The sequence below is a fragment of the Homo sapiens genome, chromosome 3 (genome assembly GCF_000001405.40).
Source record: "Homo sapiens chromosome 3, GRCh38.p14 Primary Assembly".
NCBI lineage: Eukaryota > Metazoa > Chordata > Mammalia > Primates > Hominidae > Homo > Homo sapiens.
Genome location: NC_000003.12, coordinates 133,926,605 through 133,952,347, shown reverse-complemented (window position 1 = coordinate 133,952,347; position 25,743 = coordinate 133,926,605). Strand labels below are relative to the sequence as shown.

The window sequence follows — 25,743 nt, the reverse complement described above, 5'->3', positions numbered from 1 at the left end:
GTTGCAACCATGCTGCTAGAGCCTAGACTCCCGTCCCTAAGACTGTCAGACCACAGTGCCATCTGCATGGTGTCATTTGGCTGTACTTCCAATGAAAGTAGAAAGCCAGGGGGTGTCTTATGCCTCAGGATCAAGCCATCCCTGTCCTTTTGCTGGCACTCCCCGAATTGGTTCCTGGCTCTTGGTTGCCCAAAGAGACCAGCAACTGAGTGCCCAGTCCACTCAGGGCAGTGCCCAGGGAAGCTTGTCATGATTTGACTGAACCGTTCTGCCACCTTCTCCTTCCCTTTATGCCCGGATAGTTTCTTTACACAGAGAAACACAATGGCAGACTTTTACACGTGTGCAAGAGAATTGCCAAGAGAAAGCTGCTCCTTTGGAAGCCAGGCAGTTCACACAGTTGATGGTTGTTTCTTTAGGCTTCTAAGGATTATGGGGCCTCCTTTGTTAGGGATCCATAAAGTTGGGAGGCAGTAGTTTAATGGTTAAGAGGGCAGGTTTGCATACCAGGGAGACACAGGCTTGAAATTGACCAATGAAATGGCACTTACTAGCCTTTACCTGAGGCAAGGGACTTAACCCCTTCTATCCTCAGTTTCTTGACTGGTGAGAGGTGGGCAGACTTGCTAGAGAACCCAGTGGAAAACAGATGGAAAGCACGTGGTCTAGAGTCTGGCCCATGGTGTGCCCTTGTGAGTGAGAGTCAGCTCCCTTCTTCACTACTTCTGCCAAGGGCTGGGAGTTGAATAAGGAGGTGAAGGTACTGCTCCCTCCTGCCCGGGGATTTTCTGATGCTGTGCTTCATGTGCAGTGGCCTTGGTCCTCTGGGAAGACCAATAGCTGGGAGAGGGAATGTTGTTTTGACCAAGAATCTAGCTCATGGCTTGCCTCTTCTGCATCCTGGGAAGAAAATCAGTGAAACTCCCCCTGATCAGAGGTTCTGTTTCCAGTAAGGTGAGATCATGCATTCAACAAACATTTGCACTCTTCGTTTTCTCTTCAGCTGCAGTTAACTTGGTCCCGGGTGACCCCCGATGGATTGGAGCCTGGTGGCTAGGCCTGCTCATTTCTTCAGCTTTATTGGTTCTCACCTCTTTCCCCTTTTTTTTCTTCCCTCGAGCAATGCCCATAGGAGCAAAGGTAAGGTTCCAAGAGCCCATGACTCTACCTGATGGAGTTGAAGAAAGGGATGTGGGGGTAGAAAATAAATAGAGCTAAAAAGCTGCAGCATGTTAAGCAAATTCAGGGTGAAATCTAAACAAATTTCATGATGCAGGACTTCCCAGAGGCTTTAAGAGGTGAGGGTGTTGGTGAATTTCCAAAAGGTGGTATCTCCTATGTGTTCCCGTACCATGTTAGCATGTCAAGGATCAGGAGACCTCCAGGGAACAGTTTGGGAAACACTGAGCTTATCTAAATTGAGCTAAAGAATTAAGAGCCAATAAAGGCCAAGTCTGCGACCTGGTACAGTCAACTTTTACATTTAATAGGGCCTATCAGTGTTCAGTGTTTGAACCTGAAAAACTGAGTAGGAAGGGATTCCTAGCATTGAACAGTGTTGAGGGTGGCTGAAATTGGAGCATATTTTGAGCAGAGGACCTTCCAAGCATCTTCCAGTCACGCCTGCTGGGGAAAGGAATCAGGGAAGGATGAGAACGGAGAGCAAGGAAGAGAAGTCTGGGTAGGGGCTTGATGTTCAGCTGAAGGGTCTAAAGATTGTTCTAATTCCATGAAGTTCTAGAGCACTGCAGTGACTGGGTGGCCACTTGGGTGGCAATATGGCAGCTAGGTTGAGTTTAGGGGGTAGGGAAGGAATGGAGGCTGGAGATCTGAAGAGGCCAGTGCAGAGACCAGGTGAGAGATGGGGAATGCAGCAATGGTTGTCGGAGAGCTGGGACAGGGCAAAGATAAGGATAGACATTCCTAGGGTGGATGCCCAGAAGGACTCAGCAGTGAGCTGGCTTGGAGGAGAAGAAGGAGCTAAAGTTTATGCCTAGGCTTCAAGTCCCAAAATAGAGCTCAATGTTTGACAATGAGGTATATAAAATCTAGGCCCAGCCGGGGGGAGAGGGGCAGGGGTGGGAGGACCTCAGCTTGTCTTGGGGAAGAATTTCAGACGTTGGCTACACATCATGCAGGTGCTGGGGTCAGGCAGACCTGGGTTTGAATGAAGCTCTGCTACTTATAAACCAGCTGAGTTGGCCAGGTGTATAATCTCACACTTTAGGAGGCCAAGGCAGGAGGATTGCTTGAGCCCAGGTTGAGATTGGTGGGTAGGGAAGGAATGAAGTTCAAGACCACCCTGGGCAACATAGCGAGACCCCATCTCTAAAAAAAAAATTATTTTAAAAACTTAGCTCAGCATGGTGTTGAGTGCATGTAGTCCCACCTACTTGGGAGGCTGAGGTGGGAGAATCACTTGAGCCCAGGAGTTCGAGGCTGCAGTGAGCTATGACTGCACCACTGCACACCAGCTTGGGTGACAGAGTGAGACCCTGTCTCTAAAAAAATAAAAATAAAAAATAAAAAACAATGAACTAGCTGAGTGAGCTTCGCCAAGTTTCTTTGTTCCTAAGCTTCCTCTTCTTTACAGTGCTCCAGCTAATTAGAGTAGCAGTATGGGAAAGCGTTGTGAGGAATGAGACAAAGCATATGAATACTGGGCACAGGTCCAGCAGGGAGTAAGCACTCAGTGAATGGGAGAGCCTATTCCTGGAGATGAGTTCCCAGCAGGATCCTAATGCTGTCAGAGCCCAGGGGCCTTGCATCTGAAAGGTAGTTCAGAGCTGCAGGGCCTTAGGCTGGAGCTGACAAGGTCAGAAGAGGTAGGAAGGTTCCCTGGGGTAGTATACCCAAGAAAGTGCAGGTAAAGGTTTAGGACAGAGCCTTGAGCAGCACTCACCTTTAGGCTCAGGAGGAAGCAAGAATCCCAGAGAGGAGATAGAAAGGGGGAGGACGGTGGGGCTGGAAACAGATGGCATTCTAGACCAGAGTGTCCCAGAAGCCAGTATCCCCTGGAATCTGAGGGTAGGGGAGAAGCGTAGCCATGACAGATGGGGGTGAGGGGTGGGGTCCAGGAAGACACCTTTGGCAACAGTCATAGGAAAGTTAGATATGAAATGATATGCCCACAGGTATCGTGGGAGGCATTGGCATAGATGTGTTCTGATTGTCGGCCAAAACACCAGGCTCACGGAAATGCAGGTGCTGTTTGCTTCAGGAGAGCATTCTCTGGATGCCCTCCCATGCACACACGCCTGGAGGGGGCTCACCTCCACCCAGCCCTGAGCTTCTGAGGCCAGAGACTCAAGGGCTCAGGGAAGGGTGGCTACAGTGAGCCTGGGCCGTGAACACTCACCCCTTTTATTGCCTTCAGAGGGCTCCTGCCACAGCAGATGAAGCAAGGAAGTTGGAGGAGGCCAAGTCAAGAGGCTCCCTGGTGGATTTCATTAAACGTAACTGACCCTACAGCCCTGGGTGGGCTGGCACAGTGCGGGGGAGGGGATAGTGGCCAGGGGGACCCCAGCCCCTGTGGTGTTGTGTGCGGTAAGGGACAGTAGGAGCAGAGGGCCTGTAACTGGCCCATCCCCTAGGTGTGCCTGCAGCCCAGGGGTTCTGCCAGAGCCTTGACAGCGGTCTGTTCACAGGGTTTCCATGCATCTTTCTGAGGCTCCTGATGAACTCACTCTTCGTCCTGGTGGTCCTGGCCCAGTGCACCTTCTCCTCCGTCATTGCTGGCCTCTCCACCTTCCTCAACAAGTTCCTGGAGAAGCAGTATGGCACCTCAGCAGCCTATGCCAACTTCCTCATTGGTGAGCCCAGAGGGTGCTGCAGGATCCGCAGGGCTTGCCTGGGCCAGGAGGCAGGCACTCCAGCCACCCATCCAGGGATGGGCGCAGGCCAGACCGGACATAGGCAGGGTCCGGAGGAGGACTGCCCAGGAGAAAGAATTTTAAGGACAGTTTTCCTGGTTGGCAATCTAGAAAGTTCTTGGCAGATTTCTGACTCCTGTCCTTCCAGTCAGGAGTGGGTGGAGGCTGGGGGCTGCCTTCCTCCCTGTAAAGGGGCTGGAAGTCTGACAGCTTCCCAAAGGCCCTGACATCATCAGGAACAACACAGGAAAGAGGGAAGGTTGAATTTGAGGTTAGACAAAATGCCTCCGGGATTTTCTCTTCTTCCCTAGGGACCTGAGTATATTTGCTTTGGTTAGACAATATATGGTCCAGAGATTCTCAACCCAGGCTGCACCAGAGGCTCCTCTGGAGAGCTTTACAAAACACAGATGCCCAGCCCTATCCCAGGTTAACGAAACCAGAATCTCTGGAGGTGGCACCCAGCAGTAGTATTTTTTCAACTGTGTTGAGAACTACAGATGTGGTCCCACCAAGTACCCTAGGAAATCACTGGGCCCAACCCAACCCACAGGTGAGTTTAACCATATGGAGTTGGCAAGGTGATCAGTGCATGAGATTGGAGGGTGACTCCCGTGCACCCCCTGGCTGGTCCTTGGCTGTGGCTTTACCCCTCTGGCCTTCCATCTCTGACTGGTACATAGGGGTCATCACTCTTGTGTTGCTAACCCCATGCGGTCCCATGCAAAGAGGCCCCAAGGAATGAAATGTGCTTAATAAATGCATATTCAACCCACATCTCTTAAGCTGCAAGAACCCCACTTCTGTATTTTTTGTGTAGGCAAGGCAATCCTGTCTCAAGATATTTCTCTAGATGTGCCTGGCAAGCAGTAAATGCTCAATTAATGTCAGCTACTTCGATTACAATTTAACATACCAAATGTTCCTTCCTGAAGCCATGCTTCCTTCTCAGTGATCCAGCTCAGTGTTTGTAGCCCACATGCAGTCCCAGGCCTGTGCACCTGGATCACCTCCTTCTTTCCACTTATAGGTGCTGTGAACCTCCCTGCTGCAGCCTTGGGGATGCTGTTTGGAGGAATCCTCATGAAGCGCTTTGTTTTCTCTCTACAAGCCATTCCCCGCATAGCTACCACCATCATCACCATCTCCATGATCCTTTGTGTTCCTTTGTTCTTCATGGGATGCTCCACCCCAACTGTGGCCGAAGTCTACCCCCCTAGGTAATGGGAATAAGGGGTAGAGAGATCCCCTTTAATAAGGCCAGGGCTTAGATCTGGCTGTTATACATCTTCCTTCCTGCTTCCTTAACTCTATTCTTTGCTGTACACTTTTTTTTTTTTTTGAGACAGAGTCTCGCTCCGTCACCCAGGCTGTAGTGCAGTGGCGTGATCTTGGCTCACTGCAAACTCCACCTCCCAGGTTCAAGTGATTCTCCCAGGTTCAAGCAATTCTCATGCCTCAGCCTCTCGAGTAGCTGGGATTACAGGTGTGTACCACCACACCCGGCTAATTTTTGTATTTTTAGTTGAGGCGGGGTTTCACCATTTTGGCCAGGCTGGTCATAAACTCCTGACCTCAAGTGATCTGCCTGCCACAGCCTCCCAAAATGCTGAAATTACAGGTGTGAGCCACCCCGCCCGGCCCACTTTTGATCTGATCTCTCACGTGGCAACTTAGAAAATCAGGTCTTGAATGGTCTGCTCCATTATAAGAAGAGATCAAAGGCTCTTACTGGGCCACCAGCAATCAGGGTTAGAGTTCTGTTTTCTTAAGAAGCACCAAAAACTAATTTGTTTGATTTCAGGATGAATTTGTAGGGCTGTGAGCCACAGGAACCAGGAAATAAGCTATGTTTAGCATCAGCTCTGTGCTGGCTAGAATTTCAGTTTCATTGAGCTGCTGAAGAGAGATGAAAGGAGACTTGAAAAGATCTGGAGAAGAATAATGAGAGTGATGGCAGACTTGAAAAATTAGGGCAGGTGAGGAGAAGGTCAGGTAAAGTCTGCCTGTTGGTTTGCAGACAGCAATATGGGTCACAGTGTTAACTTTGGCTTTATGTTCAGGAAGAGCTTCAGAGCCCTGTGAGGGGAAGGATGCCAACCAAGGGGCATTTTATTTTATTTTTCCTGGGTGCCACCTGTCAACAAGCTTTTTTTTAAGACTTTGCCTAATGAAGTTGCAACATTTGGAGATGCTGTACCTTTCAGCCCTGGTATTTTCTCTGTTTTTTTTTTTTTTTCTTTGAAATGACCTCCTCTGTCTTTGGTGGGTGAAGGAGAGAAGGGGTTTGGGGGAAGGGAGGGTTGCTCGGGGTAGGGAGCTCACCCCTAGTCTGTACGGCACTTCTGCAGGCTGACTGTGGATTGAGGAAAGCCGAGAAGCCTTTGGGCCTTTTGGCAGCGTCCACTGGGAGTTTAGCACATGGCTTTGTCCTCAGACAGGCCTGGACTGTATACCAGTGTTCCTTACTAGTTGGGGGAAGTTGCTTACCTTATCTAAGCTTTGGTTTTCTAATCCACAACAGGCAAATAATTCACTGTAGACTCGTTGTGATGATTGTGCATGTAAAGCCCCCGGGCACAGTGCCTGGCACGAGATGAACTCTCATTCGTATAATTATACTAGTGAAATATCTGGACAGTGGTTTGTCAGCCCCTTTCCCAACCCTCCCCGAAGAAGGTCATGAATATCAGATACCGGGGAACAGTGGGAACAGTGAGATCAACCAGTGAAATCCCTCTGGTTGAAGCTCAAGGGGATGGAGTAACTCTGGGCAAGGTCTACATTAAGCCAGGAGACAGACAGCAAACTAAATCCTGGATTGCCTCAGCGGTCCCAGCCACTGTTTTTCGGCTGAAGAAGAGGGAAGGCGAATATTGTCTGTGACCTGCCCATTGCAGCTGCCCTTTCTGGGTGGTTGGTTGTCTTGACGCCTACTGTGGCAAGGGATTCACCAGCCAGGCCTTCCCAGAGCATAATTAGTGGATTTGGGCTCCCAGTGGCAGAAGAAATGGAGAGATGCCGTGACCACTAAACAGTGGCAAATTCACTGTTGGCTCCACCAGGCATAATTCAGATCCCAGGGTGGCACTGGCCCAAAAGAAATAAAGATGCACAGACACACTCACCAGGCCAGGAACTCACACTGGGCTGGAGTGTAGGGTTTTTCTTTGGTCTTGCTTTGTTTGATTCCCCGTTTCCTCTTTTGCTGGCAGCACATCAAGTTCTATACATCCGCAGTCTCCTGCCTGCCGCAGGGACTGCTCGTGCCCAGATTCTATCTTCCACCCGGTCTGTGGAGACAATGGAATCGAGTACCTCTCCCCTTGCCATGCCGGCTGCAGCAACATCAACATGAGCTCTGCAACCTCCAAGCAACTGGTAAGGGCAGCCAGGGTCCAGAGGCAAGAGGAGCCCCACAGGATCTCGGAGCTCAGCGCATGCCCTCAAAGACTGTTTCTCGGCTCCAGGATAGGCAGGGCTCCACACACACACTCATTACCAGCATCCTGGCCTCCTCTGAGCCACATCCAACCTCTCTCTACCTCCCTACCCTGGGGTCATGACCAGATGCTGACAGCCCACAGTCAATTAAAGACTGGCCGATGTCCAACAAATTCACATTCTTGAGGCCTAACTGCTCAGAGCAGAAACCAGTCAAAGCACTCCTTCAGCTGAGGCCTTTGAGCCCCATCCTGAGAGATCCTCATGGGCATCTCTGGGTCCTGCAGGCTGGCCGTGGCCCAGATAAATCGAGGGCATTAGGCTTCTGTGACATGGACCTGGAAGGGTAGAGCCAGAAGCAGTAGCTGAGGGCACTTGGTTCAACCCCTCAGCTCCCAGGTGTGGCCACATGGCTGGCCTGAAATCATGCAGCTATTTCGGGCTGACCTGGCACTTGAACCCAGGGCTCTGCCTCAGTCTGGGGCACTTCTATTCAAAGCCATGTATCTTCTGGCCACCAGCTTTCCACTTGGGCAACCTCCATTCACTAGACTCACTTGGCAAAGTACAGTCCTTTTTTCTGTGGCTCCACACCTCCTAGGATCAGCCAGCAGCAAACTGACTTGAGTCATTTGTTTAGTTATTCAATAAACAGAACACTGGGCACAGCCGTGAGTGCTGAGGATGTGATGGTGAACCCATCAGACAAGGTCCCTGTTCTCATGGAGGGTGCATTCTATCAAATCAACACACAGGATAATTCTAGAAAGTAACCCATGCCATGGAAGGACTTAATAGGATGGAGAGTTCCCAGGGGCCTCCGGGAGAGGGTGACATTAGAAGTGAACAACCAGAAGAACAGAATTCTATGCACACCAGGAGCAATGCATTCCAGATAAAGGGAGCAGCAAGTACAAGTCCCAAGGGCATGAATGTACTGGGCATGCTGTAGGAAAGAAGAGAAAAGGCCGGGCTTGGTGCTGTAGGAGGAGTGTCACACCCAGCTGGCCAGGGAGCAGGCAGGAGCCAGAGCCAGGCAGGCCAGGCTTAGGAACTGCTGAGCAATGAGAAGACTGTGCAGTTAGTGTAAGCTAGGAACATGCCTTATTCCCTTAAGCCCATATGGAGGGGATGGGCAAGCCTAGTGCCTACTTACCAACCTCCTCTGAAAGGACAGGGCAAGGCTGCTGCCACTGCCACCTCTGCGGGCGAAGGAGCGTGGCTCCCAGGCAGAGGAAGGACAAGGAACTTGGACAAGATGCTCTTTAAGTTGCCTTCCAGTTGTGGTGGCTTCTGTGGTTTTCTTATCTTTGTTAACTTACCTCTGAGTCACCTACTTCCAGAAATAATCTTGGCAAGTTTCCCGTAACAGCATACATACCTCAAGACAAAAACCCATTAGCAAAATATCAAGAAAAAAAATCAGTAAATTATAAAGAAAAAAAATCTCTAAAAAATCCAGACTGAGGAAAGTAACAGCAATATTTTATATAACTAACTTTGGAGTTTCCTAGGGGCCAAGTGAAGAGGGTGCATAGTTACCACTGTCGGCAGAAGGAAACATACTAGTCCCTTAGTTCCAATATTAGTCTTGTAACTGCTTGGACACTGAAATTGTCACAGGCTGGGCCATCTGACAAGGGCAGCGAAGGAAGGTGAAGACCACCAGACAAGGGCAGTGGCCACCAAAGTGAGTTGGACAACAGTATTGAGCCATATGGACTTGCAGACTTGAGACAGGGGCCTCCTTCTCTGGAGTCCCTTCTAGGCAGGAGTTCCTTTCAGGCAGGGAACTCCAGCAAAGGCCTGACAGAATCAGAACCCAGGGAATTCCACTGTGTTCCCACTGCCCTCCTACTGTTTATGCCTCCCTCTGCAATAAACACACAAACAGCAAAAACAACAATCTGCAAAACCACCACTGCTGGGCACAAGCCCTCCTGGGCCCCTGGCTCCAAGCTGGGGGTTGGGGGCCTAACCTGGCAGTGTTCCTGGGCATCCAGAGGCAGATATGACTTCTGGAGGAGCCCAGCCCAGCCCAGAAGATGGTTTCTGTTGCCCAAACAGTGACAGAGGTGGGACCCCTGGGGCAGCTTGAAACCCTCACCTGGCCCCAGGCTCACCCAGCTTCCCTGGGAACCAGACCCAGAGGACACAAGGGTTGAAACCTCAGTCTCCAACAAGAGCTGGTGCAGACGTCTGAAGTGTGTGAAAGTGAAATAATAACAAATTTCCCCCTTTTTCCCTCCCCTTCCTCTTGAAGATCTATTTGAACTGCAGCTGTGTGACCGGGGGATCCGCTTCAGCAAAGACAGGATCGTGCCCTGTCCCCTGTGCCCACTTCCTGCTCCCGGCCATCTTCCTCATCTCCTTCGTGTCCCTGATAGCCTGCATCTCCCACAACCCCCTCTACATGATGGTTCTGCGGTGAGTGGCAAACCTCTGTGAGTCTGGGGCGTGGCTTCTCCTTCCCCACATCTCCCTTTGACTTTGCGCCTAGTTGCCTGTTTCTCATCTCTCCCCCCTTTTGTGGCCCTCAGAGTCCTTTAAATGACAATGTGCAAGGTTCTTTTGCTGAGGGGAAATAATACTAATGGCAACAGTGCTGGGAGCCCTGCCCAGGGAGGCTCTGTGCTGAGCTCCTCATTGCAGGGCCTCATTCAGTCCCACAGCGTCCATGTGACACAGGCCCTGTTGGCGCCTCCACTCTGCACATTGGAGGTTAAATCACAAGCCTAGGCTGGGCGCGGTGGCTCGTGCCTGTGACCCCAGCACTTTGGGAGGCCAAGGAGGGCAGATCACCTGAGGTCAGGAGTTCAAGACCAGCCTGGCCAACATGGCAAAACTCCGTCTCTTCTAAAAATACAAAAATTAGCTGGGCGTGGTGGCCAGTGCCTGTAATCCCAGCTTCTTGGGAGGCTGAGGCAGAAGAATCACTTGAACCCAGGAGGCGGAGGTTGCAGTGAGCCAAGATTGTGCCACTGCACTCCAGCCTGGGTGACAGAGTGAGACTCCGTCTCAAAAATAATAATAATTAAAAAAAAAATCACTAGCCTAGTATGGCAGAGCCAGTGAATGGCTGAGCCATGTGTTGAAGCCAGGCTGCCTGGCTCCACACCATGGAAATGCCTGTAGGTTTGCTTATTTTTAAATCCTAAAAGAAATGAGAAGAGCAAAGAGAATTTAGTTGGATGCATAAAACCAAGGCAGGAAAACGTGGAAAGTTTCAGAGTCAGAGTGAGGGCTATGGAAAAGGATGAAAATGAGAAAATCCTGGTATGATTGGCTCCAGGACCAAGTTCCCAGGTCAGGAAGGGAGCCGCTGGCCAGAGCTGGAGGGGAGGAGCGGGGTGTCCCGTTACAGCTGGCAGCTGGCAATGAATGCTTCTGAGGTTTTCACTGGGAATGACCCGCTCTTCACCTCACTGGCTGCAAGGAGAAAACAACATTTGTACCAAATTCACCTAACCCACCCCCACTGCCCTCCCTCCTGTCCTCACTCACCTCGCAAGCAGAGAGGGCAAAAACACAGGATTTGGACTCCCGGTGCCAGGATTAAAGTCCCTGCTCTGCCACATACTGGCTGTGTTAGGGTGTTGCCTAACCTCATTGAGCCTCAGTCTCCTTATTCATGAAATGATGATGATGATATCGAACTCAAAGGGTTGGTGTCAGGATTATATGGTAAATTGCTTTGTAAATATAAGGTGTTCTACATATTGGTTAATTATCACTATTAATCAAATAATAATAATAATAATTCACAGCTAGCTAGGTGTCTGTGACCTATTTTCCCCAGAAGGCTAGGAGAAAAGGAAGGAGCAGATGCAGCCACTTGTTGGGATCTGGGATTTTACCCTATTTATAAGTGAGCTATCAAGTTAGTGTGAAAGCTATCAAATCAAACTACTATTTCAAGGATGCTGGCAGAAGATGTGAGACTCCTGGGTCAAAGACAAAATACTTTATTACAGCACAGAAAGCAGCACAAAACTTAGGGTGTGTCAGTTATCCTTGACCCCCAAATCCTACAGGGGTGACACAGAGAGGCCCAGGTGTACACTTTGCAAGAACACTGAGCATAGAAGAGCCACCACTTCTATGGTGAGCAGTGAGCACCGCTGCTCCTGGTCTTGGAGGAAACGTTAACTCATGCCTCAGAGTTGCTCATTGCAACTACAACCCGGAGAAACGGCACAGGAAAACAGTAGTCAGGACCTTGCATTCTGAGCTTACTCAGCAAGAAGGTGCAGGGATGCTTGGAACCCACGGCGTGTTGCCTCCTTTGACACCACTGTCACCCCCTTCTCTACCGCTCCCCATCCTGCGCATTCAAAGCACTGACAGCTTCACCTGAGACTCTTCAGCGGGCTTCCCTTCTTGCACCTTGGGTCAGATGGACCACAGTGGACCCTCCAGCCCTGACATAAAACTACATGAGGCCATGATGAGGAGAGGGCACAGAGTAGGAAAATCTCCCTGGCAAGTCGCTATGCAGCAGGAAGAAGGGCAATCCCTGTCAAATCACCTCCCAGAGGACTCCTGTCAAACCCTAGGTACAAGGAGGTCGTGAAGAACAGAGCATCATTTCAACCACAGGATGGGCTTCTCTAGAAAATCTCTCCTTTCTAGGTCGAGTTGGGGTAGGGGGTGGAGAGGAGGCCCCAGGATCCCACAACGATTTAAAGATAAATCCTACTGGGAAAGATGACAGAATTGATGCTATTTAGTGTGAAGAAGGAGAGGCTTAAAGATGACTTTGTAGGCCGGGTGTGGTGGCTCACACCTGTAATCCCAGCACTTTGGGAGGCCAAGGTGGGTGGACCACCTGAGGTCAGGCGTTCAAGACCAGCCTGGCCAACATGGCGAAACCTTGTCTCTACTAAAATTACAAAAGTTAGCCGGGCATGGTGATGGGCGCCTGTAGTCCCAGCTACTTGGGAGGCTGAGGCAGGAGAATTGGTTGAACCTGGGAAGTGGAGGTTGCAGTGAGCCAAGACTGAGCCACTGCACTCCAGCCTGGGTGACAGAATGAGACTCTGTCTCCGAAAAAAAAAAAAAAAAAAAAAGATGACTTTGTAGGTGACCCAAGCATTATTTATATGAGTCCTGGCCCCCAATTAGCCATGGGAACACAAGCTGGAAGTGAAGGCTAGCTGAAAACGTGGAAGGAGAAAGAGAGGTCAGAAGGTCAGCTTTCATTCAGGGCCACATGGGACAGAGACTAGAAGGGGCCCAAGATCTCAATCAAAAGCCAAATTGGGGTGGCCAAGTCCCGTTTCATTGAGAATCTAGGGGAGTCTGCCCAGGGCAAGGGCCAAGACAAGGCAGGTATCTATTATGAACTGGACCACTGGAGGGATCTGTAGACACAACAGGATTTGAGACACTTTGCATTGTGGGGGTCCCAAGGGGTGCCTCTTCCCCTGCCCCAATGAGTATTTGTCTCACTGGGCCATCCCTCAGGGGGACTGGGCAAAGGTCCCTTTCCAGTTTGCTAGCAGAACTGTGATGGTGGTGGTGAAACAAACCACAGGTAGAGGCCTGGGGATTACTTCTGAGCTCCCTTCCTCACTGTCCCCTAGCACTGAAGGCTCTTCCTGACAAGCACCCACCGGGAGTGTGTGTGCTCAGAGCACAGAGAGTCCTGGAGTCAAGTCACTCATCAGGTGCCTCTGCTGGCCAGCTGCTGGCTCCCCACCTTGTGTGGAGGTGTCCTCCCTCTCTCCACTCCCCAGCTGGGATGGCAGGGCCGTCCCCTGCTCTCTCTGAATCTCCTTCCTCAGCCAAACACATTTTCCTCTCTTGAAGGAAGATGGTTAGGGGCAGGACCAGCTACCTAATTTGCAGGACCTATTGCAAATGAAAATGTAAAGCCCCTGGCTCAGAAATTAAGAATTTCCAGACAGCTGCAGCAGAGCATTAAGCCAAACATGGGACCTTTCTGAGGGTGGAGTTGTATGCACACACCCACAGAGCTAGCCTGGGGTAGGGAATTCTTTTAGCTGTGCACAGAAGCCTGCAGCCCAAGGGCCCTAATTACACTTTGCAGCAGGGCTGTCTTTTACTGTTATAAGACATTCTGTGGGAGTTGTTCAGACCTGCTGCTATCAACACACCCACAGCATCCTTCTCTCCACTCCTAGCCTCTACTGCCCTCTGCTTCTTGAAGGGGGCTCTGGGCAGCCCTGAAAATCACACAGACTGGTGGTTCTCAGTGATGCATCAGAATCTCCTGGAGGTAAAATACAGATTGCTGGGCCCCATCCCCAGACTTTCCGACTCAGTAAGTCTGGGGTGGGCCTGAAAATCTGCATATCTAACAAGTTCCCAGGGGATGCTGATGATCCAGGGACCACGCTTTGAGGCCACTGATGTAAAGAACTAGAGCATTCAGCCCAGGTGAACCCGGTCACCAGAGGGCTCGTCAGGCCACATCAGGGCTGGTTCTGACCTGCTCTGAGGCTGGCTGCCCCTTACCCAAGGGATCGTGCAGCCCTGAATCCTCCCACTGCTGATTTCCTGTCTGTCTTTTCAGTGTGGTGAACCAGGAGGAAAAGTCATTTGCCATCGGGGTGCAGTTCTTGTTGATGCGCTTGCTGGGTAAGTGTCTAAGACCCCTCTTCCCAAGAAGTGGCCCCAGGCGATGGGGCATCTGAAGGCTATGGGTGCAGGGTAGCGATGGAGGAAGCACCATCTCATCTCCATGGCGAAGAGAAGCTGTGCATAATCAACAGCAGATGCCAAAATCCATGTGGACGGTTTCCCAGATTGCTTGAGGTTAGGAAAGACTCCATCTATGGCATTCATTCCTAACTAAGTTATGTAAGAAAAATGAAAAGTGAACACAGCTGAGAATACCTAATAGAGTGTTAAAGGCAGGTATTTTTAAATCCTTCTCACAAAACTCACTGTAGGAACAAAACTTTGCATTCCTGCCAAGCCAGAGCAGCGGCTGAGCCCAGCCCTGGCTTCCTTTCCATTTTACAAAATTCACTCCTCCTAAAACTATTTAGCAAAAGTTTCTTCCCTGTGGGGTCCTCTGCTGGTGAGTCCTGCCTGCCCTCAAGCAGTCCAGAGCCCACCAGAGGAATGGAGCTGTGCACAAGTGATCAGCAGTGCCCCAGGGGAGAGCGAGCTGCTTGAGGCAGCAGGAGTGCTCTCCCGGGGTGCCTGGGCTGAGGGCTGGGGGCACAATGCAGGCCCATTCCTGAACTGCTCACACTGGCTGTTCCTTCTTGACATATCTGTGCACTAGACTTAACACAAGGCAGCAATAGAGAGATCCTTGTAATGACAGGCACACAGTAGTAAAGGGACCTAATTGAACTGAGGATGTGTTAATTAAGGGTGCAAACTACAGAGGGGAATATGGAGACTCCAGCAAGAGGAACTTCAGTTACTATAAGGTGTCGTTTCTGACTATAAATCCTGAAATAATGTATAGCCCACTGTGCCTCATTACCCAGGGGCCAGGTCAACACCGCGCCCTGCAGTGGCTTCCATCCCCATTTTGAGATGTATTGGTGATGTCTCTACTGGGGCCAGGTGAGCGGGAGCCCTTGCTGAGCCCAATCCAGTCCCAGGCTGGGAGAAGTGTTTGGATGATGGGAATGAACCAGCTTTTTCAGTGGGATTTCTTGTTCCTCTAGTCCCTGCAGAGCCCCTTCAGACCCTGCTCCTGCTGCCTGCATTATAAACACAGAGGAAGCAGGGCGGCAGGATCTACCTGTCCTCCCAGCAGAGGCTCTGCTGTCATCAGAGCTCCTTATTTTCATTTATAACTTAACTTTCTCTAACACTTCTGCTGGGAAAGAGACCTCACATTCCTCTCAGCCCATCCAGCACCTAGGATAGGCTCTAAAGAGCCCTTTCCTGCTTCCTCCAGCAACCTTGAAAATGACCTTGAAAACAAGGACTCTCTCGGACTCTCTCGCACTGCTTGAAGCACTCGCTGCTTTTGCTTTTCCATTTGAGCTCAGATAACTCAATGTGGGACCACAATGAGAAAACCCAGGCCTGGAGGGGTTCCATTTATCACCCAAGAACACAATCCACTCTTGGGTAAAAAAAAGGACTTCCTATTACAGGTTTTAAATTACACATTGGGATTGGGTTGACAATGTTTCCGGACTTTGCTTCTACATAAGGAAGTGTCATATATCACTCTGGCCAGTTTTCATCCCCCTGTTCACCTGGAGACTTGAGAGTGAGCAGGATCTGAGTAGAGAGGCTTCTTCTTAGAGTTTCCCACTTGTGGGCAGTGCCACAAGTGGAGCATTGTCTGTCTTTCTTCTGGAAGCAGCTGCTCACAGGGCCCTAAACAAAGTCTGGGAGGCTGTTGTCAGCACTGTGGTGCTGAGAATGGGATGGGCCAGCCTTGGTGTAAATCCTGGACAAGCCCTCCGCAGTCCAGTAACTGCCTAGAGCTGTAGCTAGTGGTACGCTACCCACAGGTAGTGTGGCATCCGGAATATTAGACAGCCAGGAAGGCATAGCCCCTGCCAAGCCAAATCTTAACACTCAGCTGCTGGGAAGTTCGGGGTCCCAGAGCAGAAGCTTTGAGCAGCCAGGTATTGGGAGGTCTGCAGAGGGGTGTTGTCTAATCCAATAGGGCAGCTTGGTGTGGTGGAAGTACATGGGATTCGAACCTCCATAAACCAGGGTTCCAAGTCTGGCCTTGACTTCTCTTGGCTGTGTTACAGTGTCCCAGCCAAGAACCCCTTCCTCTTCACTAAAAAGTGGGCACCCACACCTCGGGGCCAGTGTGAGGACCTGAGAAGTCGATGCCTGGAGAGCCTCCTGCCACACAGTGGAGGCCCGTGTATCTCCACTCTGAGCTGATCTCAGGAGAACTATGTTGGATGTCTGAGCCGGCATCAAGGTGATCCCTGTGACTTACTCTGACTTGAAAGAATGGCCCAGGTCCCTTTTGTCTTCTAAGCCTTCTGGTGAAAGAGAAATTCAGGCTTCACTGAAAGCTATTCTGCTTTCCAGAGTCACTGTGAGTCCTATGGGTACGGCAGAGCCGTTCTCATGTATGTGAACTGTGTCGGGGACTTGGCTCCCACACCCCTGCTGGACACCTCTGCCTGCAGTTCCACCTGACCAGGGCTTTCTGAACCCTCTTCCAGCCTGGCTGCCATCTCCAGCCCTCTATGGCCTCACCATTGACCACTCCTGCATCCGGTGGAACTCGCTGTGCTTGGGGAGGCGAGGGGCCTGCGCCTACTATGACAACGATGCTCTCCGAGACAGGTGAGGGCCCATCATGTATGTGTGTCCCAGAGCCAGGCCCTGGGCTTGAGATGACAGTAGTCATATGCCCAGTGGCTACTGTGGGGGCTGTCAGGCTTCCAAGGAAGAGAACATGAAGGGCCACCTCTGCGGCCCTGCCATGGACAGGGAGCAGGGGCTACTATAACAGGCATTTCAGGGCTCACAGGGAGATGTCCAGGGACTTCCATGACCCGAAAGCCCTTGGAAGGGGCAGCAGACCCAGGGACTTCCCTGACCCGAAAGCCTTTGGAAGGGGCAGCAGCAGAAAGAAGGGGCGGGGATGGCTGGAGCCCAAGGAAGAGGCCATGGCTGTGGAAAAATTGGGGGCAGCCTCCTGCTGCTCAGAGACAGAGGGGGGCCACATCATGGCTCCTGGCAGAGGTCCAGGGCAGGGGGACCAACCTGCCTCAATGGGCCAAGTCCAGCTGCAGTGCTATTGGGTTCTGCACCCCTTCCAGCCACCTCACCTGCTGCCGTTGTCATATGGCCCAGAAACCACAGGAAGGTGGGCTTGAGGGGACTGGGCAGGGGCTGGAAATGGTATGGGAGTGGCAGAGAAGACCACAAAAGGGACAGGCCAAGAGGGCAGTGAGAAGATGCCTCTCTCCTTCTGGCTCTGCTTGGAGGTCAGGACCGTCTGGGGGTGGCTGGGGCAGCTGGGTCACCTCTGGCCCTCTGGAAAGAGCCAGTGGAGGGATGATGAGCCCTGGATTAAGAGTCCCATGCCTACTCCCTGCCTGCTTCCCTACAGCTTTGTTCCCTTTTGGGTCAAAGAAATGAGGAAAGTGATCCTCACCTGGATGGTGCCCACACCTTCCGCGGGCCAGCGTGGGAATGATGTGGTTCTTCCCAGTGGTCCTGGCCCTGGGATGTGGGCTGCAGAGCCCCCTCCCTCACCAGTCCTGCCTCCTCCTGCCCACAGGTACCTGGGCCTGCAGATGGGCTACAAGGCGCTGGGCATGCTGCTGCTTTGCTTCATCAGCTGGAGGGTGAAGAAGAACAAGGAGTACAACGTGCAGAAGGCGGCAGGCCTCATCTGACCCCACCCTGGGCCACTGCCCTGCTCCAGAGAGTGGACCTTGACTCTTCCACACCTGCCTATACTCACTAATGTTAACACGTCATTTCCTTTTTGTATTTTTAAACAAGAAAGAAAACCCCAGTCCTCATTTGCCTTCCCTACCTCTTCCTCCCAGAGTCCTCCCCACAGTTCCTAAGGGCCACTGTGTACCCGGGCTGTGTGGGCCAGAACTGGGGGGCTGAGTCTTCCCTGGCCCCTTGGAAGAGGCCCCCAGATGCCCAGGCTCACTTCAGTGTTGAGTCCTCCATTGAGGATGCCCACTGAGGCAGCCAGGCCCCTCACCAGCCCTGGGGGGAATCCTAAACAGAGAGAGAAAAAGGGTATCTGCCCTTCTTGCCAGGCAGCTCCACTCTCCCGCTGACTGCCCACACCCTGCAGAGTGGCAGGGGTGAAAGGAAGAAGGAAGTGGCTGAGTTATTAATAGCCAGAGCCACTGGGAGACTGGGGAGACTGGCTGTAACCCCCTTCACACCTGGGTTTGGCATCAGCACAGACTACGGGAGGGGCTGGCTCCCTCCCCCTCAGACCCTCACTTCCTGTACCTAGAGGCCATTCTGGATGCTGCCATGTTGGGAAGTACAGTCTCTGCCCATTACCTGCATGCAGGCACCAGAGCAGGGACTGAGAAACCCCAAGGATGGGTCATCTAAGTGCTGTCCATATGAACCCTGGACTTTCTGTCCTTAGATCCTCACATGTTATCCCTGTCTTTCTGGGGTACGTTTCAAACTGAGGAAGCTACAACACAGTGAAGACCCAAGGAAGGCCTATGAAAAGGTCCTGATGCCCAACCTCCCACCCCTTCAATGTGGGGACGAGACCCCCTCATCTCAGAGTAATGGGAAGAACCTCCCACATCTCCCTGGCAGCAGATGAGGTGGCTTCACATGCACTTCCCTGTCTGGACTTCAGCCCGTATTCCGAGGAGTAGAGAGGCAGAAGAGATGTCAGCAAAGCAAGTGATGAAGCAGAGTGGATGTCCACTGTCACCAAGCTGGATGGCAAGCTGCGGCCCACAAAACAGCCAGTCAGGTTGGCTTTCCTGGTTTCAGACATGCTCATACCATTCCCATTTTCTCAGCCTCTTCTCACTGCCTCCAGAGAGGTGGGTGCCTGGGTTGAGAGACACAGCTGCTACGTGATAGATGTTGAGAGACAGAAGCCAACGAAGGAGGTCATTCATCAACAAATATATTTATTGGAGACCGACTTTGTGCAAAGCAATGCTAATCAGGGTTCTCCATGGAGCTTCCCTCAGCTCTTACCTCACCTCCCTCCATTTACATTAGGGCCTTCTCCCAGGGTGTGCTCGGTGGGCAGTGTGGGACTGGGGGTGTGGGAGTTGGTGAGAGCAGGAGGAGAGGTGGGGACAGCAAGAAGCCACAGATTGGCATGAAGGATCCTGACCTGACTATCCATGCCATCCATGGCCCCCAGACTGACTCTGCACCTGGCCCTTTGCCAGACAGCTCTGTCTCCCCATGTCCTCTGGAACAGCTGGGCATGGGTCATGGCCATTCATGACCCTTAAGTGCCACCCTTCTTGGAAGACCCCCTCCAGAAGCATACTGGAAGCCACCTCTGGAAAAGCCTCATATGGTGATATGCCAAAATATTTATGTCAATGTCCAAACAAAGTCCAATGCCATGAGACTGAAGTCTTTGTGGAAACCACTGTTACAGACAAGCTTATTTCCAAAGCCACCTCATTTCCAAACATCTCACTCAGGAAGGGAGGCTCAATGTAACCTCAGGGGCCAGTTTTAGCATTTGAAATGGTTCTGCTTGGAAAATGATGCCCTGCAACTAACCCTGGTCTTTCCCATGGCAATTTAACCACATTTGGAAGGCACTGCCTTCAGCTGAGTTTATGAACAATGAATGCCAACCTTCAGGTTCTAGAAGATTGGTTGCACTCCCAAACCTTTATTCTATTATATTACTATTAAAATATTCTAATTTTGCTATTGAGGTAACTTGGTCATGAATTTATGTTGTCATATACATCTGTCAGAGAACAGACAGCACCTGCACTTTTTAATTTTATTTTATTTTTATTTGTATTTTATTTTTGAGATGGAGTCTTGCTCTGTCACCCAGGCTGGAGTGCAGTGGCACAATCTTGGCTCACTGCAACCTCTGCCTCCTTGGTTCAAGCGATTCTCCTGCCTCAGCCTCCAGAGTAACTGGGATTACAGGCCTGCGCCACCACACCTGGCTAATTTTTGTACTTTTAGTAGAGACAGGGTTTCACCATGTTGGCCAGGCTGGTCTCAAACTCCTGACCTCAAGTGATCCTCCCGCCTCAGCCTCCCAAAGTGTTGGGATTACAGGCATGAGCCACTGCGCCCTGCCGGCACCTGCATCTTGTAAACAGAGGAAGTGCTCATGACATAGACCCCAGGGGCCCATGGCCATGGAGATTAGAGGTAATGCAACTGTCAACCCATTAGCCTGGTATCAGGCAAGTACCAGACACTGCTTATTCCTTCAGTGAAGTTCTGCTGGGCTCTGAGAAGGCCGCATCACTGCTCTTGGGTTTATATCCAGAAGCGGAGCTGGACGCAAACAGCTATGTCCATGGCACAAAACAGAATTAATATCATAATCAAATTGATCACATGGTCACAACCAGTACTACTACTCCCAAGAAAATCTTTCTTTTCAGCTGTCAGCAGGGAATATAATAGTGTCACTTTCATTTCACTTCTAGAGCAAAGCTTAACAAACTTTCTTGAGTGTGTGACACTCACAGAGGATGCAAATTCCCAACACCCTCCACCCAGCCCCAGCGTCTACTTCTGTGGGTCTAATGGGGACCCAGGAATGGCTCTTTTAACGGCCCCCTCATGAGATTGATGTGGGTAGTTCCCAAATCCTGTGAGGTGGGCTGTCAGTGCAATAGAGCCTGGGGTATGCCCATTTGTGCTTAGGCCACTGAGAAATTTACAGGCTCGATAGGCCTTTGGTATGTTCAAAGGTGAGTGAAGGATAACAAGGTGAAGAGATGCCTGTGAATCTGATTTTTTGGATGGCTGCAACTAAGAGTCAATGGGCATGAAAAACAATCCAAGAGCTCACATTTATATGAGGCCCTTATCAGTACTGAGAGAGACATTCTCACTTCACAAGCTTGGATGTGCAAAAAGAAAAAAATCACTTATTTCTTTAAATCAGTTATTGATTTCAAACCCCCCATCCTACTGTCTGGCTGGAAATTCAATATCAACCATGCTTGGGTCTGGCTCCTAGAGCCATCTGAAGGTCCTTGGATGCCTACGCATTCAAGGGTGCCATTGTGGGTCTTTGGTCCCTTTCCCATTTGAGGCTGTTTAATGGCCCTGCTTCTCACCTGAGCCTGGAAACCCTACAAAGCCGAGACCCCAGGGTTAGGCCCACCTCCCTGTGCACACTCGCGGCTATGCCCTCTCCCGGCCCCAGTCCTAGGAAGCCCACTCCTCTGCACCACTCCCTCTCCCTACAGAATCCCGCTCCTCAAGGGCTGAACAAAAAAGCCGGAAAAGGAAGAGTGTGCAGGAACCTTTTTTATTCAATCCTTCTTTTACCCTTCTTGGAAAAAGCGCAAATACAGTGATAACTAAATACCGTATCTCTATCAATTATCCTTTGGCCCAAAGCCCTTTGGGGTGATCCTCCATGATGGATGCCCCATGTAAAGGTGAGGAATCTGATCCCGAGGAAGCAACCATTGTGGCCAATTTCACATAGATAATAGCTGGCCAGGTCTAGACTCAAACCAGGCTGTCCACTTCTCTCTGGTCCAGCCCAATTGCCCCAGCTGAGTCATTCTGAAGAGTCAGCATGGACTAAAATGGTGGGGAGGCCCCTCTTTTCCCACTGATGTTCACTGGCCCATGGGAGGGAAGTGGGGGAATCTCTTGAGGGCCATTAAGGTGGGTAACAAAGGCAAAAGAACCAGGTAACAGTTCATTTACTTACCTTCTATTCAACTAGCAACAACATCACAACTATTCATTAAACAGGGCCAATTTATCCCTATAGCACCATGAGTTAAAGAGAGTTGTGGAGAAAAGAGACAAAGAGGGAAGGGTTTTGAGAAGAAAAGGCCCTGAGAATCCTGCACACAGACCTTCAAGGGAACAGCTCCATCTGGTGACTGCTTAGCAGATTCTTGCTCAAGAAACAAAGCCATATTGTGATTTTATTCAACCACTCTCAAAGATGGAGAGATACAGTTAAGCTGGAGGCTGAAGCCAGTCAGTATCAAATTGATACTAAAATATTATATTGCAGCAAATCCAGAAGAAATACATCCTATCTTTCGCAACCACAGGAAGTAAATACCTGGAAGAAAGGTCCATCTCCTGCCAGTAGCACCAGACACCAGATTCATTATAACCTTTCATCAGAGATTAAATATGGAAACAGATCCTGGAAAAGCCCTTGGCAAATCATAAATGAGAGGAAGTTTTTCTCCATGGCATACCCTGGCCATTCCTCCACTCTCCAGCCACATCATGTCTCCAGCCCTGCTACAACTTGACAGCAATAATAATAACTAAAATGTGCACAGATCTTTACAGTTTACCAAGCCATTAACCCATTTAAAACACTTCTTTAATCAGTAAATCAGTGGGGAAAGGCTTGGCTATGCTGTGGTAACAAACCTCTCGAATCTTAGTCACTTGACACAACAAAAGATGGTATCTCGCTCACAGAACCTGTGGTGATCTGGGTGACTCTCAGGTCAGTGGCTCAGTAGTGCCCCTCTGCCTGCTCAGGGCCTGGAGGATTGGCCTGAGAGCCCCCCCAACCAGTGTCTCAGTAACTCAGACTGTTTGGAACCTGAGGTACCTCCATTTCATTATAAGCTGCCATGATGGATGGGGCAGGGGAAGAAAGTCCTGGAAGATCCCGCACTGCTAAGCAATGCTTTGTCCCAAAGTAACGCTCTTCACTCTGCTCCCAGCCTAGCTGCCGCAAGAGCGGAACAGAATATTCTGTGTGCTCAGGAGAAGAAAAGAGCAGATATGGTTGAGCACTAAAACCCTCTACTGTGGGTAGTGAACCTAGGTGGACACAGTTGCTCACCGGGACACTTAAACCAGCTTTGCGGGGCTGTCGGGGTTGGGAAGCACAGTCTGGAAAGATTTCCCAATGGAGGAAGCACCAATTGTGGGTCCCTGAAGCTGAGGGGATGATGCCCAGGCAAGGCCGAGGCAGTCTGCAGAGGGCTGGGGAGGTGGGAAAGACGATTTTGCTCAGAGGAGGCAGAGATGGGGTGGTGGCTGAGAGAGATGCAGGGTCAAGGAAAGGATGGCTTCAGAGAGGAGAGATTTGCTGGGGCAAAAGGCCACAGGATGGGGAGGCTGCGGGGTCCAAGAGGACAGCTGATGGAGCGAGACCCTGCAGGCAAGGAGGAGATGGGGTGACTCATGGCAGAATCGCACCAGAGTTCCCACAGCCCTGTGCGGCCACTATGACTAGTCCCATCCTGTACATGGAGAAAACGAGGCTCCTTCCAGTTGTCCCTCACGCCTCCCTTGATTTATGTACTACCTGATGTGTATAAGGACAGGTGGTGACAAACACATGGTCCCTACCCTTCAAGGACATATAATCCAGAGCTAAGACAAGACCTTAACACAGGGCAAAGTACTATGCTCTGAGTTCATTTGATGAGCGATGGGAGAACGGGCTTGATCCTAGCCATGCGGGAGAGACTGGAATTCAAGAGAGTCAAATGTGCTGGGAAAGACTTTCTGGGCAAAAGGAATAAGCAAAGGTGTGCAAAGGTAAGGAAGCAGGAAACCTTTGCACATCTTGAGAACTCGCCGGCCAGAGGCCTGTGAAGGAGCGCAGTGGTCAGGCAGGAGAGGCAGTCGGATGCAGGCTGAGACCATCCTGGAGGGTCTTGAGGCTGGCTTACCCCAGGCTGTGAGTAGTGGGCTCAGCCTAGTCCCGGCTCCTGGGTTAGTGCTCACGTGTCTCTCTGCCCCCTCAGGGCCTGGAGGAATGGCCTTAGAGCCCCCACCAACCACGCTCAGGAAGGCATTCCTAGCTCAGAGTACCCTCCTGGAGTCTACACTGGAAGGGGCTCCTGAGTGGGCCGCGCCACACCCCGAGGAGCAGAGGCGCAGTCCTCCCGCGTGCTCCCAGCACACTCCACCCCTACCCAGCACACCCACGGGGCCCCCACCTTGCTCACCTGGGGGGAACCACCCACTCTGCGCCCTCTCAGGGAGAGGTGGTGGCCGCTGCTCTATCCCCTCCCTCTCTTCCTCTTCCACCTTCTCTCTCTTCTCATCTGGGTGCTGGAACCCAAGGGTGAAACTGAGAGTCAGAAAGTCTCAGTCTCAAGGCAGAGCGGGGCAACTAATTTAAAACGGCTTCTACTCCGGCCCCCAGTGTGACTAATCTCCTTCTCTTCGCTCCACAGGTCTATAAATGGGCCACAGTAGGCACCCCTTTTTAAATCTGTAAAATCCCCAAATCCATTAAAAGTGACTTCAGAGGTCCCAGATAGGGACCAACATTTGTTTAAACCTTTTCCTCATTACATCTCATGACCGCCAGCTTACAAAAGAGAGACTGGGGGTTCTGGATGAGACGTATGCAATCCCTGAGTCCACCTTGGAAAGGACAGAGGCAGGTGTCACACCGTTCCTCTTTGACCCGAATCGCTTGAATCCCAGAGTTTCAACAGCTCAGGTGGGTTGAAGGCTCAGAATGTACCAGACATCCGAAGCGCTTTACATACATTTGCTCCTTGAATCTTCACGACAGCCCTGTGAGATGCAATAATCATGCCATTCCACAGACGAGGAAACGGGCCCAGGGGACTGCGGTCTCGGCTCCTTTCCTCTGGCTTTCTCAGAAAAGGCGCGGAGGCCCCCGCCGGGTGGGCGAGGCGGGGTGGGCGGCCCCTTGCGCCCTGGAGTCGCATTCCGCCACCAGGGGGCGCCGCCCCTCCGCCGCGGCCCGGGGAAGCCACCCGCGGAGGCGCCACGCCCAGCCCGCCCACGGGACGCCCCCGCGGCCCCACAGCCAGCCGGGCGGGACTCCACCACCCGGCTCAGCGCGCCTCCGATAGCCCGCTTCCCCGCCGGGGCGCCCTCGGGCCTGCGGGGCTCCCCGCGCCCACCGCACGCACGCACGCACGCCTTCCCCTACTCGGAGGGCCCGGCGGCTGAGCCCACCGGCGCCTGCTCACGGGACACAGCCTCGAGAAAACTTCCTCTCTGACTGCCCGCGATAAAGCACCGTTTAGTCTATTTATGTTTTCTGCACGAAAGTGTATTAAACACGTTAGAGAACAAGAGGAGTAGAGAGTAAGGTGCCACGAGGCACCGAGAGGGCCCGCGGGAACACACGGCTTCCTCAGGCTCTCTGACCGGCCGTGAGCAGGGTGGTCCCCGGCCGCATTGTGGGGCCATTCGCACCCAGAAGCTGTCAGCCTCCCCACTGCGTCACTGGCACCATCTGGGAACCATTATTCAGCCACTGCAGGGGGCTAGGTAGCCTCTGCTTCCTCCTTCCAATTCCCAAAACCTTCACCACAGCACCTCCTGGGGCCTGGCCCCGAGATAGGCTTGCATGTCGGAAAGAAACTGTTGTCAGCATTCCAGGCACTGTCCACCCCGGGAAAGGGGCAGGTACCCATCCCGTCACAGACTCAGGTACCCGGGCAAGCCGGGCACCAGGCCTATAGAGGTGAACAAGACAAACAGAAGGCAGACAGACAACCAAGAAAGCATCCAAACTGTGGCTGCAATTGGCTGATCAATTACAGGTGCAATAGTGCCATGAAGGAGAAGTGCAAACAGACAGACAGATGCCTGCATGGAAATGCAGGGGGAAGCCGGTGTATGTGGTGGATTAACAAAGGTGAAAGAGGCCCGTTCCCTAGGGATTGGAGATCTGGAGCAGAGATGAGCTCTAACTGTGCCTGGAAGGATAGGGTAAGTTTGTTGACAGGGGCCTTAGAGAAGGTGTTCTGGGCGGAGGGGACTGCAGGAGTGAAGACTCAGAGATGAGAAAACTGGACCATGTTTGCCTGGAGGGCAGGGTGTAAGTAGCGCCCCC

At 51.6% G+C, this 25,743-nt stretch overlaps 1 protein-coding gene and 1 long non-coding RNA gene across 2 annotated transcripts in view, besides 4 other annotated features; both read left to right on the top strand.

The window, feature by feature from the left end:
* SLCO2A1 (solute carrier organic anion transporter family member 2A1) overlaps window positions 1–19,647 on the top strand; it is a 97,225-nt gene extending 77,578 nt beyond the window's left edge. Inside the window, exons 6-14 of the mRNA NM_005630.3 lie at window positions 1,004–1,140; window positions 3,377–3,455; window positions 3,648–3,812; window positions 4,903–5,092; window positions 7,088–7,253; window positions 9,580–9,743; window positions 13,855–13,919; window positions 16,451–16,574; window positions 17,518–19,647. Coding sequence (NP_005621.2) covers window positions 1,004–1,140; window positions 3,377–3,455; window positions 3,648–3,812; window positions 4,903–5,092; window positions 7,088–7,253; window positions 9,580–9,743; window positions 13,855–13,919; window positions 16,451–16,574; window positions 17,518–17,635 — 1,208 coding nt within the window. The 3' untranslated portion in view covers window positions 17,636–19,647. The remainder of the gene's footprint in view (window positions 1–1,003; window positions 1,141–3,376; window positions 3,456–3,647; window positions 3,813–4,902; window positions 5,093–7,087; window positions 7,254–9,579; window positions 9,744–13,854; window positions 13,920–16,450; window positions 16,575–17,517) is intronic.
* Window positions 2,259–3,227: an enhancer, noted in NCBI's record as "OCT4-NANOG-H3K4me1 hESC enhancer chr3:133667965-133668933 (GRCh37/hg19 assembly coordinates)". NCBI's record gives its function as "activates a minimal SCP1, AML or CMV promoter by ChIP-STARR-seq in naive H9 embryonic stem cells {active_cell/tissue: H9 hESC(naive)}" and the evidence as "EXISTENCE:reporter gene assay evidence [ECO:0000049][PMID:30033119]".
* Window positions 6,969–7,263: a silencer, noted in NCBI's record as "tiled region #14374; K562 Repressive non-DNase unmatched - State 21:Repr". NCBI's record gives its function as "represses a minimal TATA promoter and a strong SV40 promoter by Sharpr-MPRA in K562 cells {active_cell/tissue: K562}" and the evidence as "EXISTENCE:reporter gene assay evidence [ECO:0000049][PMID:27701403]".
* Window positions 9,183–9,771: an enhancer, noted in NCBI's record as "H3K4me1 hESC enhancer chr3:133661421-133662009 (GRCh37/hg19 assembly coordinates)". NCBI's record gives its function as "activates a minimal SCP1, AML or CMV promoter by ChIP-STARR-seq in naive H9 embryonic stem cells {active_cell/tissue: H9 hESC(naive)}" and the evidence as "EXISTENCE:reporter gene assay evidence [ECO:0000049][PMID:30033119]".
* C3orf36 (chromosome 3 putative open reading frame 36) lies at window positions 22,536–24,203 on the top strand. The gene has a single exon (NR_161373.1). It is a non-coding gene; the product is annotated as a chromosome 3 putative open reading frame 36 (long non-coding RNA).
* Window positions 24,378–24,907: a silencer, noted in NCBI's record as "silent region_14751". NCBI's record gives its function as "represses an Ori minimal core promoter by ATAC-STARR-seq in GM12878 lymphoblastoid cells {active_cell/tissue: GM12878}" and the evidence as "EXISTENCE:reporter gene assay evidence [ECO:0000049][PMID:35858748]".